Source organism: Homo sapiens, chromosome 11 (assembly GCF_000001405.40).
Source record: "Homo sapiens chromosome 11, GRCh38.p14 Primary Assembly".
NCBI classification, from domain to species: domain Eukaryota; kingdom Metazoa; phylum Chordata; class Mammalia; order Primates; family Hominidae; genus Homo; species Homo sapiens.
Genome location: NC_000011.10, coordinates 73971681 through 73985727, shown reverse-complemented (window position 1 = coordinate 73985727; position 14047 = coordinate 73971681). Strand labels below are relative to the sequence as shown.

The window sequence follows — 14047 nt, the reverse complement described above, 5'->3', positions numbered from 1 at the left end:
AATTCAGTTTCATGTCAATTTTTAAAATGTATGGTTATCAAATTCGACTTCTTTTTAAAAATGCAATCAGATAACTGTATGCTTGTTTGATGAGGGGAGGAAAGTTAATATAGCCAATCTACTCAATATTTTTAGCAGAAATTATCAGAGACTAAGGAAATGTTTAAGTTTTTCTCATGTTGGTTTTAATTACCTAATGTTTTCAGTTTTCTCTTTCATTCTTGTGTCTTTTTTTCATTTTCAGTGTTTCAAATACAGTTTGTATTTAAAGATTTAGAAGTTCCAAAACTGTAAGCACAGTGGATTGTTTCCTGGGATGATGTTAAAATTATACAACAAAATATATGAAACTTTGTCAATTTGGTTATTGGCACATACAAAATATTTACAAATAAACGTGTGTGTGTGTGCGTGTACACACAATTCAATGAAATAGATGTGAAACAAGTTTTCTTTTTTTTTTTTTTGAGACAGAGTCTTGCTCTGTCGCCCAGGCTGGAGTGCAATGTCGCAGTCTCAGCTCACTGCAACCTCTGCCTCCCGGGTTCAAGCGATTCTCCTGCCTCAGCCTCCCGAGTAGCTGGGACTACAGGCACCTACCACCACTCCCAGCTAATTTTTGTGTTTTTAGTAGAGACAGGGTTTCACCATGTTAGCCAGGCTAGTCTCCAACTCCTGACCTCAGGTGATCTGCCCGCCTCAGCCTCCCAAAGTGCTGGGATTGCAGGCGTGAGCCACCTCACCTGGCTACAAGTTTTCAAAATACATTTATCTGTACCCATACATTCTCCAGTTTGTCCACAGGACATCTTATGACTTGAGCAAGCTGCTAAAAATCCAAGGGTGCAGCGTTTGTATGTCTATAGGATTGCTCAGATCTGCCCCCACCCTGAAAGAATTTAAGAGAATTTCTTGAGGCCAGGCACAGTGGCTCACACCTGTAATTCCAGTACTGTGAGAGTCCGAGGTCAGAGGACTGCTTGAGGCCAGGAGTTCAAGAGCAGCCTGGACAACATAGGGAGACCTGTCACTACAAAGAATAAATAAATTAGCCAGGCTTAGTGGCTCATCCCTGTGGTCCCAGCTACTAGGGAGGCAGAAGTAGGACTGCTTGTCCCAGGAGGTCAAGACTGCAGTGAGCTGAGACCCAGCCACCTGCATTCCAGCCTGGGCAACAAAAAGAGACCCTGTCTCAAAAAATAAGTTAAATAAATAAATAATAAAAATAGTTTAAACCCTAAACACATCTTCTTTTTCAAAGAGGACTTCTTAAGGACTTCATGCTGCGTCCTGTTGATCTCCACTTCCCTTTTTCAGCGTCCACACTTTTAACAGTCTCTTTTGCCAAGGATAATAAGTATATAGTTTCTGGAATCCAGATTCTTCCCTGTTTGGACAGCCAGGGGGACAATTTTTGGTCTGCAGGCCTTTGCATCTGTTCTGCTGTTGCTCAGCAATCTCACAGCAAATTTGCCGAGCCTCTCCGGAATGCACAGCCAGACAGAGCTCAGCGCAAAAGCTAGAGAACCTGGCGGAGGGAGACTCACAGTGCCACAAAAAAACTTTATCTTTTCTTTTTTTTTTTCTTTTCTTTCTTTCTCTTTCTTTCTTGTCTTTCTGTCTTTCCTCTCTCTCTCTCTGTCTTTCTTTCCTCTCTTTCTTTCTTTTTTCCTACATGGCAAGATCTCCTCATGGCAGAAATAATCTGCCTTGACTTCTGTTTCCACGCTGCTTCTGCCAGGACCATGCGCTCGGCGTGTTTTTCTTTCCGCTATAATTATCCAGGCCCATCCCAGCTCTGGTCCCCTCAGCTGTTCCCTGGCAGTCCCTTCTGCTGGTGAAAACACATATGGCGCCGGCCTGACCAGGGTGTAAGTGTGTGAATATCAGGAAGATGACTGAACGTCTTTGGGACTCCGTTTCCTCATTGTAAAATGGAGGTTAATACCAGCCTTCTTCTACTCCCCAAACGCACGTGTTTGTCCCGGCCAGAGGGCCCAATTGTTGGCTGTTCACGCGTCAGTTACCCCCACAGGACGGGTCAGCCAATTAAAGGCGAACCAGGCCCGGTCCATCTCCTGACGCCTTTTCTCATCCCAGGGCTGGACAGGCAGCTGGCCTGGGCCCGGCTCTGCCTTGTCACGTGCGGGGGCCGGCCCGTTTGCTTGTCTGTGTGTAGGAGCGTGAGGTCACGCTGGGTGCTCCCGCCCCGCCGGGGCCTTTAGTGTCCTGGTCCCTAAACGCCAGGCCGCTCCACCGGGGGAGAAGGCGCGAACCCCAGCCGAGCCCAACGGCTGTTGTCGGTTGCCGGGCCACCTGTTGCTGCAGTTCTGATTGGTTCCTTCCCCCGACAACGCGGCGGCTGTAACCAATCGACAGCGAGGCCGGTCGCGAGGCCCCAGTCCCGCCCTGCAGGAGCCAGCCGCGCGCTCGCTCGCAGGAGGGTGGGTAGTTTGCCCAGCGTAGGGGGGCTGGGCCCATAAAAGAGGAAGTGCACTTAAGACACGGCCCCGCTGGACGCTGTTAGAAACCGTCCTGGCTGGGAAGGCAAGAGGTGTGTGACTGGACAAGACTTGTTTCTGGCGGTCAGTCTTGCCATCCTCACAGAGGTTGGCGGCCCGAGAGAGTGTGAGGCAGAGGCGGGGAGTGGCAAGGGAGTGACCATCTCGGGGAACGAAGGAGTAAACGCGGTGATGGGACGCACGGAAACGGGAGTGGAGAAAGTCATGGAGAGAACCCTAGGCGGGGCGGTCCCCGCGGAAAGGCGGCTGCTCCAGGGTCTCCGCACCCAAGTAGGAGCTGGCAGGCCCGGCCCCGCCCCGCAGGCCCCACCCCGGGCCCCGCCCCCGAGGCTTAAGCCGCGCCGCCGCCTGCGCGGAGCCCCACTGCGAAGCCCAGCTGCGCGCGCCTTGGGATTGACTGTCCACGCTCGCCCGGCTCGTCCGACGCGCCCTCCGCCAGCCGACAGACACAGCCGCACGCACTGCCGTGTTCTCCCTGCGGCTCGGTGAGCCTGGCCCCAGCCCTGCGCCCTTTGCGCCCCCCACGCTTGTTCTGCGTGCGCTGCCCGCTCTTCCATTTACCTTCTCTCCCACCCAAGTTTGTACTCTTTTCTTTCTCTCGGTTTTATTTTTTGTTTTTGTTTGTTTGTTTGAGACAGGCTTTCGCTCTGTCTCCCAGGCTGGAGTGCAGTGGCGCGATCTCGGCTCACTGCAGCCTCCACCTCCCAGGTTCAAGCGATCCGCCTGCCGAGTAGCTGGGATTACAGGCGCCCGCCACCACGCCTGGCTAATTTTTGTGTTTTGTAGAGATGGGGTTTCGCCATGTTGGCCAGGCTGGCCTCGAACTGCTGAGCTCAAGCAATCCGCCCGCCTCGGCCTCACAAAGTCCTAGAATTTTAGGCATGAGCCTCCGGGTCCGGCCTGTGCTAATCCTTTCTGTCCTTGGTTCTTTATTTCTCTTCTCTCTTTTTCTTAGTCCCTTTTGTTCTTTCCCTCTCCCGTTCAGTTGGCTGTCGTTTGAGCCTCCACCTTTTCACTCCCTCCTTTCCACCACGATGCCGAGCCCTGCCTTGGATGGGGACCATCAGCGATGACCACAATGACCTCTCCCTTACCAGGCAGCTCCAGGCAGTGTTCCTGCACCGCCTTTCCCAGGGCTTGGGGGCTTTTTCTAGTGGGCTTTGAGCTGCTCAATCTGGCCTCTGCAGGGCCGGCTCCCAGCCCTTCCAACCTCCTCACAGCCCGACCTGGGACCTAGCCAATTCCCGGAGAGTCTCTGTCCCATCGTGACCCCCTCACAACTCTCCCACTCACCAAAGTCTGATGACTGTGCTAGGGGGTGCTTATATAGAGTACTGAGTGTTACAAAAGCAGAAGTCTGGATGAGAACCAATTTGTGATATTAAGCAGGTGGGGTGGGGGTGGGGAGTGTACCTAGGTTCATTTTCCGCCCTGCTTTTCCCCTTTCCAGTGTGTGCACTTAACCAGTCCCTGGGCCCTGTTCCCCATCCCCCTCCAAGGCATGGATTGGGTGGGCTTGTGTGTCTTGGGGCAGGTGGCCCTTTCTAAACTCTCTGCCTTTGCTCACCCACAGGACACATAGTATGACCATTAGGTGTTTCGTCTCCCACCCATTTTCTATGGAAAACCAAGGGGATCGGGCCATGATAGCCACTGGCAGCTTTGAAGAACGGGACACCTTTAGAGAAGCTTGATCTTGGAGGCCTCACCGTGAGACCTTACAAAGCCGGGTAAGAGTCCAGTCCAAGGAAGAGGTCTCTTGCTGCCTCCTAACCCTGTGGTCTAGGGGCAGGAGTCAGCAGGGCATTAACAAAAATAATTACCATCCCCACCCCCGACAGTGAAGTGGCTCTTTCCAGTTCACAGAGCACTCTCACACCTCCCCGCTCTCATTCTGGCCCTTCAGCTGACTCGGACAAGCCAAGGATCTTGGTCCCCATTTTATAAAGGAGAAAACTGAGGCCCACGTGTAACAGTGATTGGCCCCAAGTCATCCCGGGAGCCAGCAGAAGAGCTAGGACAGGAACCTATTGTTCTAACTTCATATTGATGCTAGCTTTTGACTATCCCTGAAACCGAGATTGGTAATCAGCCCGGCTCTGAAACTGGTTATTTGCTGGGGACTGTAAAATAGGATTAACTATTTCTAGTCCTGCATTTTAATTGCTGTTAGTAGGGCCATCTTACCCACCCTCTGAAGGACCTGACTTGGCAAGCCCAAGGCAACATTCAGAATATGGCAGCTGAACCTCTGTGCACTTGTCTTTGGGCAGCAGCTGGGTCTTATTCTTCTCTGGCCTTCACAACATCCTGCAACCCAGCTCAAGGTCAGGAATGTGACAGACTCATGTCATCATATCTCTGATGCCCAGAGAAGGGATACCATTTGCCTGAGCCTTCTCAGTACTGTTTAATCAGCCTGTGAGAACTTTCCTTGTGAAAGGCCCTGTCTGTGCCTGGGGCTGATAAAACAGCAAGAACGAACTGAGGAGCTGGGCAGCAGTGCAAAGCAAATACTACCAGCTTTGGTGCCTGTAAGTGTGGCTCTTACTCATCTCACATGGAAATAAGGGCAGCCACCTTGCAGGGCTGCTCTGAGGATTGAGCTAATACAGTGCCCTGGGCGTTGGGGTGGGGAAAGTTGTGGAGCACCTCCTGGGGGAAGGGGGTGTCAGAGCAGGGAATCTGGGGAGTCCGAGGGCACCTTCATCAACCCAATCTGTCATTTGAGCACCAGTCTTCACTGAGCCTCGTGGGCAAGCTGGAGGGAAACAGGAATAAGGTCAGGCCCTGTTCTATAGGTCCCAGTGTAGTTGCTATGGTGAGTATCTTCATTTCCCTGCTTGCCCCAGCCACCTGGAGTGAGAAGCCCAAGAGGAAGCTGGGTGAGCTGTTTGTTTCCATGGGTCTCTGTGTTCACAGCTGACTCCCTTCACCAGCCAGCCCTTTCACCTGAGCCCCAGCAACAAAGGCAGTCAGGCGGGGCTCAAAGCAGCTGCTCCAATGAAGTCAAAGAAATAAGCTCAGGGGAAGAAGCAGGTCACCCTCCCCCACTAGGGTGCTGGGCTCACTTCCTCCTGGGGCAGTGGAGGAGGGTGTGGTTCCAACTCAGAACAAAATGGGGCTTTTGGTTTACTTTATCACTCTTCACAGCTCTGACCTGGACCCCTCATCCCTGCCTGTCTTGTGGTGTAAGTGCGGATCCCCCTAAGTTGGAGGAAAGGAAACTGGCCCAAACAAAAAGGAGAGCAGTTTTCTCTGCATCACATGGTAGGCCAGGAGGAGTCTAATGCCCCAGAGTTTACTCTCAGCCCCCAAAATCACCTAGCTAAATGTTACCTTATCTAAGAAGTCCTTAGGTTTTTTGGGGTTTGTTTTTTTTTTTTTTGAGACAAGGTCTCACTCTCTCACCCAGACTGGAGCACAGTGGCACAATCACAGCTCACTGCAGCCTCAACCTCCTGGGCTCAAGCAATCGTCCCAAGTAGCTGGGACTATAGGCCTGCACCACCATGTCCAGCTAATTTATTTTTATTTATATTTTTTAGACAGGGTCTCATTATGTTGCCCTGGCTGGTCTTGAACTCCTGGGTTCAAGCAGTCCTCCCACCTCTGCCTCCCAAAGTGCTAGGTTTTTTTTTGTTTGTTTGTCTGTTTTTTGAAACAGAGTCTTGCTCTGTCGCCTAGGCTGGAGTGCAGTGGCACGATCTCAGCTACTGCAACCTCCACCTCCTGGGTTCAAGTGATTCTCCTGCCTCAGCCTCCTAAGTAGTTGGGAATACAGGCGTGTGCCAACACACCCAGCTCATTTTTGTATTTTTAGCGGAGATGGGGTTTTGCCATGTTGGCCAAGCTGGTCTCAAACTCCTGACCTCAGGTGATTCGCCCGCCTCAGCCTCCCAAAGTGCTGGGTTTACAGGCGTGAGCCACCACACCCAGCCCAAGAAGTCTTTTCTGATCACCCACTCTTCCTTCTCTCCCAATGGCATTAGTTGTTCCCTCCTTTGCATTTTGAGAGTATGTCCTGTAAGCCCCAAATGCAGCTTGAATCATCTGCCCATCCACCCCCTGTGCCCAACAGTAAGCCTCCTCTAGAGTAGATACTATCTCCTGCATCTCAGTGAACCACTGCCCAGCAAAGCAGTCTTGCTAAAACAATGACTCTAGAGATCCTAAGCTGTGTGAGAGCTGGAGGAGAGAATTAGACTGATGGTCTGGGAAGGGATTGAATTAGTCATCTTGTACCTTTTCTTCTTGACTTAAGTTCCAGACCTGTAGCAACCATTCCTGCTTAGACATCCAGAACATAAGCCTATGGGTCTGTGCCTGTTGGGTCTTAGTCTGGGTGAAACTTTTCTCTACTTCTGTCAGCTCTCCAGATGAACCACAGAAGCAGGAATGTGGGCATCATCAGTGAAATCTCTGCATACAGCAGACAAAGGGCTGGTCCAGTGGCTGTTTATGAGGCAGCGCTAGGAGAGCTCTGATCCAGACTCTCCCTGCAGTGAAAGGGAGGGAGCCCTTCATGAAGTATTGACTGCTTGAGCAGGAATTGCTTCACCAGCACCTAACTGAGTGCCTCTCGAGCTCACATCGGTTTTCCCTCATGAGGCCACTTGGAGTCTTGCTGAGGGACTTGGTTCTATTAGGGAAGGTGAGTTTGGGGATGGTGAGCAGGGAGGGCCTGGGGACATTGTGGCTAATGGGGCTTTTCTCCTCTTGGCTTAGATTCCGGCAGAGTTCCTCTATCTCGTCTTGTTGCTGATTAAAGGTGCCCCTGTCTCCAGTTTTTCTCCATCTCCTGGGACGTAGCAGGAAATCAGCATCATGGTTGGGTTCAAGGCCACAGATGTGCCCCCTACTGCCACTGTGAAGTTTCTTGGGGCTGGCACAGCTGCCTGCATCGCAGATCTCATCACCTTTCCTCTGGATACTGCTAAAGTCCGGTTACAGGTGAGGGGATGAAGCCTGGGAGTCTTGATGGTGTCTACTCTGTTCCCTCCCCAAAGACACAGACCCCTCAAGGGCCAGTGTTTGGAGCATCGAGATGACTGGAGGTGGGAAGGGCAACATGCTTATCCCTGTAGCTACCCTGTCTTGGCCTTGCAGATCCAAGGAGAAAGTCAGGGGCCAGTGCGCGCTACAGCCAGCGCCCAGTACCGCGGTGTGATGGGCACCATTCTGACCATGGTGCGTACTGAGGGCCCCCGAAGCCTCTACAATGGGCTGGTTGCCGGCCTGCAGCGCCAAATGAGCTTTGCCTCTGTCCGCATCGGCCTGTATGATTCTGTCAAACAGTTCTACACCAAGGGCTCTGAGCGTGAGTATGGAGCAAGGGTGTAGGCCCCTTGGCCCTTTTTTCTCAGTGATGATTGATCTTAGTTCATTCAGCCATATAGTTTTTTAGGCCCCACGATCCCTAGGAAGATCAGGGGAACAGAGAACTGGAAGGGGCCCTGGTCCTCCACATAGTTCCTAAGCACCTGGGCTATACCAGGCTCTGAGCAGGGCGTCATCCCATCACAGTCTTCAACACCACCTTGGGAGTAGGTAGTATCATCCCAGTGTTATAGAAGAAGAGACTGAGGTGGGAAGGCAGTGGGTAGAGTGGGGACTTGGCCAGGGGCACACAGTAGAGAGCCAGAAAACACACAGTAGAGAGCCAGGACACTCGTCTCTAAGGCCAGCGTTCTTCCCTTTCACCTCCTTAGTATGCCATGCCAACCCTCCATTTTACACATGACGAAACAGAGCCCCAGACAAAAGGTTGTCTTTCCCAGATCACATGGCAGGAAGAAGTAAAGCTGACCTGAGATCCCAAGTCTTAGGAATCCCAGTCCTCAGAAAGCCACTTCTCTCTGAGCCTTGGTTTTCACATTTGTCAGATGGAAATGATTGTGATTTCTCAGGGCTGTTGAGCAGGTAAATGAAAATGTTTTATGAAAGAAAGCACCAAGTTTCATTTTGGTCTTAGCCCTTGCTATGTCCCTAGCAAGAAGTAGATATTCATAGGGATATTTTGTTTGATGTGAGGAGTTCTTACAGCAAGAGCTTGTAGAAGGCCAAAAGCTTCTGGATTCTATTCCCAAAAGCAGGAGATGACAGTGACAGGGTGGTTTTGGTGAGGAGAGATGAGGTAGAAAATGAGTGCAAGCCCGCTGGCCACTGACCCCATGGCTCGCCCACAGATGCCAGCATTGGGAGCCGCCTCCTAGCAGGCAGCACCACAGGTGCCCTGGCTGTGGCTGTGGCCCAGCCCACGGATGTGGTAAAGGTCCGATTCCAAGCTCAGGCCCGGGCTGGAGGTGGTCGGAGATACCAAAGCACCGTCAATGCCTACAAGACCATTGCCCGAGAGGAAGGGTTCCGGGGCCTCTGGAAAGGTGTGTACCAGTTGTTTTCCCTTCCCCTTTTCCTCCTCCCCGATACTCTGGTCTCACCCAGGATCTTCCTCCTCCTACAGGGACCTCTCCCAATGTTGCTCGTAATGCCATTGTCAACTGTGCTGAGCTGGTGACCTATGACCTCATCAAGGATGCCCTCCTGAAAGCCAACCTCATGACAGGTGAGTCATGAGGTAGACGGTGCTGGGTCTCACCCTTCCCCCATGCCAGGAGCAGGTGCGGGGGTCTAGCTGACACCAGAAGACCACATCTTTTCATCCTATTTGCCCTTTGCAGGGAGAGTAAGATATCTCTTACTTGCCATATTGAAGCCAATTGGGATGAAGCTCCCACTTTGCACATTGAGGAACTGAGGCTAGATTGGCAAAATGACTCTTTCAGGTCCTCAGAAGATGTCTCAGCTGGAGTCCCTGTCTGTTTTTGTTTTTTTGTTTGTTTGTTTTTTGTTTTTTTTGAGATAGAGTCTCACTCTGTTACCCGTGTAATCTCAGCTCACTGCAACCTTCTCCTCCTGGGTTCAAGCGATTCTTGTGCCTCAGCCTCCCGAGTAGCTGGGATGACAGGTGTGCACCAGCACACTGGCTAATTTTTGTATTTTTAGTAGAGATGGAGTTTCACCATGTTAGCCAGGCTGGTCTCGAACTCCTGGCCTCAAGTGATCTGCCCACCTTGGCCTCCCAATGTGCTGGGATTACAGGTGTGAGCCTCTGCGCCCCATCCTCTTGTTTGTTTTTTGAGACAGGGTCTTGCTCGGTTGCCCAGGCTGGAGTGCAGTGGGGTGATTAATGGCTCATTGCAGCCTCGACCTCCCTGACTCAAGCAATCCTCCCACCTCAGCCTCCTGAGTAGCTGGGGCTGACTACAGGCATGCACACTGTGCCTGGCTAATTTTTGTATTTTGTAGAGACAGGGTTTTTGCCATGTTACCCAGTCTGGTCTTGAACTCCTGGGCTCAAGTGATCCACCCACCTCGGCCTCCAAAAGAAGTCCTGGATTACAGGCATGAGACATTGTGCCCAGCCTCTCTGTCTCTTTAAAATCATGAAAACTCGTAGCTACTTAAGTAATTCTCCTGCCTTCTGGAATGATGGGTGAAGATCTTGACTGCCTTGCCTGCTCCTCCTTGGCAGATGACCTCCCTTGCCACTTCACTTCTGCCTTTGGGGCAGGCTTCTGCACCACTGTCATCGCCTCCCCTGTAGACGTGGTCAAGACGAGATACATGAACTCTGCCCTGGGCCAGTACAGTAGCGCTGGCCACTGTGCCCTTACCATGCTCCAGAAGGAGGGGCCCCGAGCCTTCTACAAAGGGTGAGCCTCTGGTCCTCCCCACCCAGTTCAGGCCTCTTGGCTATGCATGTCTATTGTGGGTGGGAGAGAACCACCTGGAAGTGAGTAGCAGCCAAGTGTGACTATTTCTGATCCTGGTCCTGGCATTTCACCAGCATTCACCTATCCCCTTAATTCCTTCCTCCCAGAATTGCTACCATCACTGTTTATTAGGTGTTAAATGGAGACTCAAAGGGAATTCATGCTTATAGCCAAGCAGCTGTGAGCTCAGTTCATTGAGTCCTCCCAGCCTCCTTTGGGACAGAGCAACTGGGTTGGATTGAATACCAGGCCCAGTGAGGGAAGTGGGAGGTGGAGGTGCCCCCATGACCTGTGATTTTTCTCCTCTAGGTTCATGCCCTCCTTTCTCCGCTTGGGTTCCTGGAACGTGGTGATGTTCGTCACCTATGAGCAGCTGAAACGAGCCCTCATGGCTGCCTGCACTTCCCGAGAGGCTCCCTTCTGAGCCTCTCCTGCTGCTGACCTGATCACCTCTGGCTTTGTCTCTAGCCGGGCCATGCTTTCCTTTTCTTCCTTCTTTCTCTTCCCTCCTTCCCTTCTCTCCTTCCCTCTTTCCCCACCTCTTCCTTCCGCTCCTTTACCTACCACCTTCCCTCTTTCTACATTCTCATCTACTCATTGTCTCAGTGCTGGTGGAGTTGACATTTGACAGTGTGGGAGGCCTCGTACCAGCCAGGATCCCAAGCGTCCCGTCCCTTGGAAAGTTCAGCCAGAATCTTCGTCCTGCCCCCGACAGCCCAGCCTAGCCCACTTGTCATCCATAAAGCAAGCTCAACCTTGGCGTCTCCTCCCTCTCTTGTAGCTCTTACCAGAGGTCTTGGTCCAATGGCCTTTTTGGTACCTGGTGGGCAGGGGAGGAACCACCTGACTTTGAAAATGGGTGTGATCCACCTTCCACCTCCAGCATCCAATCTGAAGCCCGTGTAGGTCATCTGGTCCATTTCTCTCTAGACCCAGGCCCTGTACTAACATGGGGAGTGCAGGAGCCACCTGAGAGACAGCAGTGCCTCCCCTTCCTTTGCCGGGCCACTTGAGCTCTTACTCAGAATCTGGTACTCTAGTGCCTGCCATCCCAACCCCCCACCCCAGCCGCAGGCCTGTTTATCTGCACAACAAGAGTGCTCCTGTGTGCCCTGCATCTCCTGCAGTTCCAGAGGAACATGAGACTCTTAGATGCTGTTGACTTTATTTTATTCCATTTTACAAATGGAAGGAAGACCCACCTCCCCCAAAGTCCCAGACCTTGTGAGAACAAGTCAGTCAGCCTCCTTCCACCCTCCACAGCCACAGCCACACCCACAGAGGAAATGTTACTGAACTGGGTGGAGCAGGCCCTGACTCCACAGAGGGTGGGTGGAGGCTGCAGGGCAAACATCTGGTCTCTGCCTGAGGATACTTTCCATTTGTGTTTTTTGTTGTTTTGAGACAGAGTCTCACTTGCTGTCACCCAGGCTGGAGTGCAGTGGTGCAATCTTGGCTCACTGCAACCTCTCCCAGGTTCAGGCGATTCTCCTGCCTCAGCCTCCCAAGTAGCTGGGATTACAGGCATACACCATCATACCTGGCTAATTTTTGTGTTTTTGGTAGAAACGGGGTTTTGCCATGTTGGCCAGGCTGGTCTCAAACTCCTGACCTCAAGTGATCCACCTACCTCAGCCTCCCAAAGTGCTGGGATTACAGGCATGAGCCACTGTGCCTGGCCAGGATATTTTCCATTTGGAGTCTCACCACCACAACCCCCCTCCACCTGCCCCTGCCCCAGCTAGGCATCCAAGGAGGCCGCAAGAAGCCAGGGCCTTGGCTGCACAGGGGTCTCCGCTTCTCTGTCCCTGTTCTTATCACCTGCACTCAGAGGCAGGTGGGCAGGGGTACTACAATTTCAAGGAGTGGAGACTGTGAGGTCCTGGAATCCCAAGGCATCTCCTGTAGGGCTGGGCCCTTAGAATTATGTCACTCAGACCCAGTTTGTAGGTGTCTGAAGAAACTGAGGCCTGACACAGGTGATGCAGGCAAGAACACCCAGAAAGTCCACTACTGAACTGGGACCGGGACCCAGTCCTCCTTCCCCTTGTGGACTCCCCCAGAGACCAGTGCTGGGGTCCTTGGGGAAGCCTGTTTGGCAGCTGTGGAGCTAGGCCCTGAGAACACGACCACCCTCCCTCTTCCCTCAGCCTCAAGCCGCTGAAGCCACTGCTGCTTCGCCGCCTCGTAAGCCCAATGGTCAGAGCTGGAGGCTAGACCCTTCAGTGCTTGGGTTGAGGGCCAGGGTGTTAGATTGGTTTTTGGAGAAGGAACGAGGGCCCAGGATTCTTCAGCTTCTTAGTTTTTGACAAATTGAGCTGAGGCCCCATAGTCCTCGGGAGGGACAGGGTTGAGTGCCATAAGTCGGCAAACCAGGGTAAAGGTGACAGGCAGCTCAGCCAGGCTGCAGGGGGTGGCATATACAGAGGACCTGGCCACTACTTTATGTACCTTCTTACACTAATTCTGTGAGGCAGGCTGTTTGTTAGCTCTGCTCTGGACGGGAAGAAGTAGGGGCAGTTTGGTAGGTGTGTGTCAAAGCTAAACAGGCTGGGTGGGCATGAGCAAGTCAGCTGGTTCATTCAGCAGCCTTAATAGACACGAGGCTACCCAACTTCACTGTGGTTCTGGGTGTGGCCTTAGGACAATGAGCTGGGAACAGTGGTAGGAACCACTGGAAAACATACCAGTGGGTCTCATTCATTCTGATCACAGGTAGATCACTTCTCTTTGGTTCCCAACCCTTTAATGCCTATTAAGTGGGCAGATGATAAGCCCTGCTTTGCCTAATTCAAGGTAACACTGAAGATCACTAAGGTAATAGGAATCTCCTAAGGGACTTTCAGGCCCAAGACCCAGGCTTCCTTCAAGATAAGGAGTAGGCTTTCCTGCTGCCCTACAGGAGACCTAGAGTTGAAGAATTTCACAGCCCTGCCTCTGCACTCCAATTCAGGGCTTGCCCTCAGAACAGGGCAGCTCTCACCATCCCACTCCACCTGAGTCCTGCCCCAGAGCATTTCATGCCTCACCATCTGGTTTCCATGAAAGGCCTGCAAGGTAGGGGCTGTAAGCTTTAAGAAACGGGTTCAGAGAGGTGAAGTGATTTGCCCAAAGGCACACAGCTGGCTAGTAGCACACTGGGGATCCAGAACAGGTGTGTCTGACTCCAAAGCCCACATGCTTTTAACTACTATGCTGAAATGCTTCCTGGAGCCCTGGTCCCAGAGTCTTCACCTCAAGGTCTTTGGGTAGCTGACTTCATGGTGATTTTTTTTTTAATTTTAAGATGGCGTCTCTTCTGTCGTGCAGGCTGGAGTGCAGTGGCAAGATCTCAGCTCACTGCAACCTCTGCCTCCTGGGTTCAAGTGATTCTCCTGCCTCAGCCTGCCAAGTAGCTGGGATTACAAGTGCATGCCACCATGCCCGGCTAATTTTTGTATTTTTAGTAGAGACAAAGTTTCACCATGTTGCCCAGGCTGGTCTTGAACTCCTGACCTTGTGATCCACCCGCCTCGGCCTCCCAAAGTGCTGGGATTACAGGCATGAGCCACCGCGCCCAGCCCATGGTGATTTTTTTAATGACAAAAGTGCTACTGAACCCCCGTTTTAAAAAAAAAACCTTAAGCTGATGTGATTTGAATGGTGGAGTCCCAAGCAATCTGGAGAACATGGGGCCTTTTCTGGCACCTCTGAAGGCATTCCATGGAATTGGCTACCTACTCCCCGTAAGCCTGGATCTATCCTCACCCA

At 52.1% G+C, this 14047-nt stretch overlaps 1 protein-coding gene across 8 annotated transcripts, besides 5 other annotated features; it reads left to right on the top strand.

The window, feature by feature from the left end:
• Positions 1548 to 2048: an enhancer, noted in NCBI's record as "H3K4me1 hESC enhancer chr11:73694725-73695225 (GRCh37/hg19 assembly coordinates)". NCBI's record gives its function as "activates a minimal SCP1, AML or CMV promoter by ChIP-STARR-seq in primed H9 embryonic stem cells {active_cell/tissue: H9 hESC(primed)}" and the evidence as "EXISTENCE:reporter gene assay evidence [ECO:0000049][PMID:30033119]".
• Positions 2305 to 2464: a silencer, noted in NCBI's record as "silent region_3752". NCBI's record gives its function as "represses an Ori minimal core promoter by ATAC-STARR-seq in GM12878 lymphoblastoid cells {active_cell/tissue: GM12878}" and the evidence as "EXISTENCE:reporter gene assay evidence [ECO:0000049][PMID:35858748]".
• On the top strand, positions 2526 to 11056 carry UCP2 (uncoupling protein 2). 8 transcript variants are annotated; one of them, NM_001381945.1, is made up of 9 exons: positions 2885 to 3007; positions 4096 to 4252; positions 5676 to 5713; positions 7251 to 7475; positions 7632 to 7842; positions 8711 to 8905; positions 8986 to 9087; positions 10057 to 10237; positions 10607 to 11056. In NM_001381945.1, exons 4-9 carry the CDS (start codon positions 7350 to 7352, stop codon positions 10719 to 10721), a joined length of 930 nt encoding a protein of 309 aa, NP_001368874.1. In that variant the 5' UTR covers positions 2885 to 3007; positions 4096 to 4252; positions 5676 to 5713; positions 7251 to 7349; the 3' UTR covers positions 10722 to 11056. The 8 variants fall into 8 exon arrangements, with proteins under 8 accessions (NP_001368873.1, NP_001368874.1, NP_001368876.1 ...); NM_001381947.1 differs by having other exon boundaries at positions 5676 to 5792; NM_001381943.1 differs by lacking the exon at positions 5676 to 5713 and adding an exon at positions 4799 to 5056.
• Positions 2765 to 2974: a silencer, noted in NCBI's record as "silent region_3751". NCBI's record gives its function as "represses an Ori minimal core promoter by ATAC-STARR-seq in GM12878 lymphoblastoid cells {active_cell/tissue: GM12878}" and the evidence as "EXISTENCE:reporter gene assay evidence [ECO:0000049][PMID:35858748]".
• Positions 5300 to 5359: an enhancer, noted in NCBI's record as "active region_5248". NCBI's record gives its function as "activates an Ori minimal core promoter by ATAC-STARR-seq in GM12878 lymphoblastoid cells {active_cell/tissue: GM12878}" and the evidence as "EXISTENCE:reporter gene assay evidence [ECO:0000049][PMID:35858748]".
• Positions 11350 to 11439: an enhancer, noted in NCBI's record as "active region_5247". NCBI's record gives its function as "activates an Ori minimal core promoter by ATAC-STARR-seq in GM12878 lymphoblastoid cells {active_cell/tissue: GM12878}" and the evidence as "EXISTENCE:reporter gene assay evidence [ECO:0000049][PMID:35858748]".

Excerpts from the sequence above, each read along its gene's own strand:
- UCP2 (NM_001381944.1), top strand. The coding sequence starts at position 7,350 with ATGGTTGGGTTCAAGGCCACAGATGTGCCCCCTACTGCCACTGTGAAG. Across the intron at positions 7,843-8,710 it reads CTACACCAAGGGCTCTGAGC|ATGCCAGCATTGGGAGCCGC; the intron begins GTGAGTATGGAG and ends GCTCGCCCACAG. Across the intron at positions 8,906-8,985 it reads GTTCCGGGGCCTCTGGAAAG|GGACCTCTCCCAATGTTGCT; the intron begins GTGTGTACCAGT and ends CTCCTCCTACAG.